Genomic DNA, 1,667 nt, shown 5'->3' on the forward strand with positions numbered 1-1,667 from the left:
AAGAAGAGACTTGAGCTGCTCTTGCTCTCTCAATATGTGATATCTTTTACTGTGTTACGATGCAGCAAGAGGGTCCTCATCAGATGGCAGCTACTAAATATTGGACTTCCCAGCCTCTAGGACCATAAGTTAAATAAACTTTTATTCTTTATAAATTTCTCAGTCTGTAGTATTCAGTTACAGCAACAGAAAATGGACTAAGACAGCTCCACTTTCAAATACCATCACAGTGGGGTTAGGGCTTCAACATATGAATTTTGGATGGACACAAACATTCAGTCCATAACACTGTCACAAACAGTTTCTGTTGCCTGCCTTTCTCCCCTCATGTATAAATTATACTTTCCTGTTTCTTTGCATGTCTCATAATGTTTGTTGGAAATGGAATATTTTAGATAATATATTATAGCAACTCTGGGTACTGATCCCTGCTTAAAGGCTTGTTATTTGTATTTGCTTGTTTTCATTTTGTTTTGTTTTGTTGTTTAATGGCTGTCTGGATTATTTCAGTGAAGTCTATTTCCTATTTACCATCACAATGTGAAGGCTGTGATATTGCTTCTTAGTGATGCAGCCTTGGGTATTCCCACCTTACCCGGTGATAACAATGGTTTTCACAGGGCTCTCTTAGTCTCTTTATCCCTAACCAAACCTAGCTGTTAAACTCCACGAATTTTCAACTGATTGCCCTATTGTTTTCAACAATGCTCTGGGAGCATAAATTGCTCAACAGACTAATCCAATTAAATTCAGAATCCCTTGTACTCAGGGGGAAAAAGGTGGGAAGGGGGTGAAGGATAAAAGACTACAAATTGGGTTCAGTGTATACTGCTAGGGTGATGGGTGCACCAAAATCTCACAAATCACCACTATCATGTAACCAAATACCACCTGTCCCCCAAAAACCTATGGAAATAAAAAATTAAACAAACAAACAAACATTCAGACTCCCTTGAAAGGACATTTCCTGAGGCAAGTATTTGAGGTTTGTTCTGACCCTTGAAAGTCTTCTTCTAGCTGTCTCTTTCCCAGGTTCTCTCCAGCAAACTAGCCAGCTTACAGTTTAGCTTGTGATGAATGAATCTCCCATTCTCCTGCCTTTCACCACACTCTCCACTGTTTCTGAGAACACCTTTCAACTGGAACTTCTCTGCACTCTGTTGCAAATGAAGTCAGTTCATTTGGGAAGACATTCAGAGCTTTCTGTTTATGGCCTGCTTCTCCCACAAGACAAAATTTCTGAGCCATGGCCCTGGAGCTGGGGGTGGGTAAAACAGCACACTTTTTTCTGAGTGACACTCCCACTCTAGGAACTTAATGCTCCGTGAAGTGGGTGGGTCGGGGGGCAGTAGCGTTATGTCTCCTAGGCTTGCCTCTACCAGTATGAAACCACTATCTTACAAGCCAGGGCAAGGATGATCAGGGCCCCAGTATTCTTAGCAGTGCCATGCCCAAGGTAAAGCCTCCATCCCACCAAGTGGAGGATGGTTGGAAGAAGGAAACCCACACTTCTTGACTACATTCACTGGATCTTAGCCTCAGCAACAGGTAGTTGAGGGAAGGATGAAAAACACTCACATCCTGCCCCTCCAGAGAAGATAATCTTCCAGCTTGGAGCTGGGGGAAGATGGAGCCCTGTGTCCTTGGCTGTACCAATCTGGAGTGGA

At 42.7% G+C, this 1,667-nt stretch overlaps 1 annotated feature.

Annotated features, from left to right (window-relative positions):
* Positions 459-981: an enhancer, noted in NCBI's record as "NANOG hESC enhancer chrX:119474477-119474999 (GRCh37/hg19 assembly coordinates)". NCBI's record gives its function as "activates a minimal SCP1, AML or CMV promoter by ChIP-STARR-seq in naive H9 embryonic stem cells {active_cell/tissue: H9 hESC(naive)}" and the evidence as "EXISTENCE:reporter gene assay evidence [ECO:0000049][PMID:30033119]".

Source organism: Homo sapiens, chromosome X (genome assembly GCF_000001405.40).
Source record: "Homo sapiens chromosome X, GRCh38.p14 Primary Assembly".
Lineage (NCBI taxonomy): Eukaryota > Metazoa > Chordata > Mammalia > Primates > Hominidae > Homo > Homo sapiens.